Source organism: Homo sapiens, chromosome 19 (genome assembly GCF_000001405.40).
Source record: "Homo sapiens chromosome 19, GRCh38.p14 Primary Assembly".
In the NCBI taxonomy this organism is placed as follows: domain Eukaryota; kingdom Metazoa; phylum Chordata; class Mammalia; order Primates; family Hominidae; genus Homo; species Homo sapiens.
The window spans coordinates 44,725,185-44,728,992 of NC_000019.10; positions in this window are offsets into that span (position 1 = coordinate 44,725,185).

A 3,808-nucleotide genomic window follows, 5' to 3' on the forward strand; every position below is an offset into this window, starting at 1 on the left:
ACCTCCCCCTCCGCCCGCTCCTCTGCCCCTGCCCTCCCCCGCCCCCGCCCCTGACCTGGGTAACTCCCCTGGCACCGGGAGTAGGGGAATTTTGCCCTGCTGGCCTCTGCACCAACCACCTCCCCTTATCGGCAGCGTCGCCACCAGTGGCGGCCCAGGGTTAAAGTCCGGAGAGAGCTCCGGGCGCGAAGCGGATAGGGAGGGAGGAGTGGCGCCCAACCCAGAACGGGGACTCCCCGGAGGTCGAGCCCTCACGCTGCTGGGAGGAGAGGGGATGGGCAGGGCCGTGTCCCATGGTAAGGTGTGGGTTCAATCCTTCCTTTCTAGTTCCCGGCTGTGTGGTCTTGAACCTGGAACTTCACCCCAACTGGGAGCCTCAGCTTCTCCAGCTTTAAGGAGTCAGGGGCGTGAAAATGTCCAAGCTCTGGAGTCAGACTCCAGGAGTTTGAATGCTGGCTCCTATAACCTGCTGTGTGAGATCTGGGGCCAGCGAGTGTGTCTCTCTCAGCCTCAGTTTCCCCAGCTGTGCAATGAGGATACCTAGTGGGTGGTGGTGAACGCTCCATGAGTTTACGCACAAGAAAACCTTGGGACAGTGGCTGATAGTGGCGCCAGCAAGCCAGCATGCACCCCACCCTTTCCTTCCAAGAAAATTGCCTCCTAAATCTATGATTGGTAACCTTCACCCCTCCCTCTTTGACCCACCTCCTAACCCAGGCCACCTGGTGTCTTGCTGCACAGCTGGTCTCCCTGCCCGCACCACACCCAGAGGCGTCCTTGGAAACCCAACCCTGACCCCTGGTCAGAATCTGCCATGGCTCCCCAGTGCCCCCAGGAGAAAGCCAAGTGCTGTGCCACAGCCACAGCCTGACCACTCACTGCTTGTATTTTTTTTTCTTTTTCTTTCTTTTCTTTTCTTTTTCTTTTTTTTTTTTTTTTTTTAAGACAGGGTCTTGCTCTGGCCCCAGGCTGGAATGCAGTGGTGCCATCATAGCTCACTGCAGCCTCAACCTCCTGGGCTCAAGCAATCCTCCCACCTCAGTCTCCTGAGTAGCTGAGACTACAGGCACATGCCACCACACCTGGGTAAATTTTTAAATTTTTTTTTTAGCGATAGGGTCTCACTCATTGCCCAGGCTGGTCTTAAACTCCTGGGCTCAAGCGATCCTCCCGCCTCAGCCTCCCAAAATGCTTGGACTACAGGTATGCACCACCGCGCCCAGCCTCCTTTCTGGTTTTCTAATAAAGCCTTTTGTTCACCTCCTTCAAACACTTCCCCATGCTCTTCAGGTCTCAGCTCAAACAGGCCAGGCCCGGTCCCCTGGGTCCTCTCTGTCCTCCGTCTCCTGGTTCCCTGTACCTCTCCAAAAGCCCCCACGACCAAAAGAAGTAAAGATGTAGGGCCGGGCGCGGTGGCCTACACCTGTATTTCCCAGCACTCTGGGAGGCTGAGGTAAGTGGATCACCTGAGGTCACGAGAACCGATTGAACCCCAGAGGCAGAGGTTGCAGTGAGCCGAGATTGCGCCACTGTACTCCAGCCTGGGCGACACAGAGAGACTCAACCTCAAAAAAAAAAAAAAAAAATGGTGGCTGGGCAAGGTGGCTTATGCCTGTAATCCCAGCACTCTGAGAGGCCAAGGCAGGCAGATCACTTGAGCCCAGGAGTTCGAGACCAGCCTGGGCAACATGGTGAAAACCCGTCTCTACAAAAAATACAAAACTTAGCTGGGTGTGGTGGCATGCGCCTGTAATCCCAGCTACTCAGGAGGCTGAGGCATGAGAATCGCTTGAATCCGGGAGGTGGAGGCTGCAGTGAGCCAAGATCATGCGACTGCACTCCAGCCTGGGTGACAGTGCAAGACTCTGTCTCAAAAAAAAAAAAAAGTTCCCACTCTGGTCCAGCCACCATCACTGAAGGCCCGGACCATGCAGTCACCTCCTCATGGGACTCCCTGCCTGGGTCCTTGCTGCACCTCCACAAGGACCTGTCTTTCCCCCACATGCAGCCACAGGGATCCTGTTAACACCTAAGTCATCAGAAGGCTGAGGCGGGAGGATCGCTTGAGCCCAGGAGGTCGAGGCTATAGTAAGCCAAGATGGCACCACTGTACTCCAGCCTGGGCAACACAGTGAGACCCTGTCTCTAAACAGTAATAATAATAACAAATTAAATTAAATTAAAACCTGGCCTGGGCATGGTGGCTCATGCCTGTAATTCCAGCACTTTGGGAGGCCGAGGCAGATAGAGTACCTGAGGTCAGGAGTTGGCCAACATGGTACCTGACCAACGTGGTGAAACCCTGTCTCTATTTTAAAAATATAAAAATTAGCTGGGCCTGGTGGCACATGCCTGTAATTCCAGCTACTCAGGAGGCTGAGGCAGGAGAATCGCTTGAACCTGGGAGGCGGAGGTTGCAGTGAGCCCAGATGGCATCACTACACTCCAGCCTGGGCGACAGAGCGAGACTCCATCTCGAAAAAAAATAAAAAATGAAGTCAGATTATCCCTCCCCTGCCCAGAACCCTCCATGGCTCCCATCTCCCTCTGAGTAAAAGCCTATGTCCCTACAGTGGCTCATAAGATCCTGAGCCATCTCCTTGCCACCCTTCCCCTCTCCCCATCCTCCCACTCTCCCCCAGCTCATCCTGCTCCAGCTACACTGGCCTCCAACAGCTGTTCCGACCCACCTCTGGGCCTTGGCACTTGCTGTTCCCTCTGCCTAGAATACTCTTCCCCCAGATGTCCACATGGTTCATTCCCTCCCCTCACTCAAGTCTTAGCCCCAAACGTCATTCCTTGGAGGGCCTCCCTTGGCCACCAGATTTAAACAACAGCTTCCACTTCCTATGCTCCATCTCCCTCATTCCCTCACCAGTTTTATTTTTCTCCATAGCAAATACATACCATTGGCTGTATTTTCCTTGTCTTGTTGACTGTCTCCTGGATGGATGGACGAGTCTGTGGCTCCCCAAGGGCAGGAATCTTAGTTGTTCAACACCAGGGCAGGGCCTGGAAAACCTGTTAGCAGAGTGAATGAATTGTGTGTGTGTTTTGAAAAGGTAAGGTGTTCACAAGTTCCAAAATTCAAAAAGGACCAAATGGCAGTGAGCTGTCACTTCCCCACCACGACTCTGCCCCTCCCTCCCCAGTCCTGTTCTCACCTCCCAGTTTCCGTTTTTTTGTTTTGTTTTGTTTTGAGACAGGGTCTCACTCTGTCACCCAGGCTGGAGTACAGTGGTGCCAGCATAGCTCACTGCTGCTTCCACATCCTGGACTCAAATGATCCTCCCACCTCAGCCGCCCTAGTAGCTGGGGCCATAAGCACGCACCACCATGCCCAGCTAATTTTTGTATTTTTGGTAGAGACGGGGTTTTACCACGTTGCCCAGGCTGATCTCGAACTCCTGGGCTCAAGTGATCCATCCACCTTGCCCTTGCAAAGTGCTGGGATTACAGGCGGGGGCCGCTTTGCAAATGGTGCACAGTCTTGCTGTGGCCTGCATTTTCCCCTAGCAATACAGCAATACATCTGGAAAATCACACCGCATCAGCACCTTCTTTTTTTTTTTTTTTTTTTTAATAATTGCATGCACAGTGTCGACTTGTGGACAGACGAGAGCTCTTGCCGCAATTGTTATTATATTTCAGGAGTGGTGTGGCGTGGTGCCTAAGACCTCAGTGTCATCTCTCAGACCCGGATTCACCTCGTAGCTCTACAGCCAGAACTCCCACAGGCTGCTGGTGGGCGTGCAAGCCCCGAGCAGCCACTTTGGAAAATGGTTTGCCAACTTCCCGCAAGGTTAAA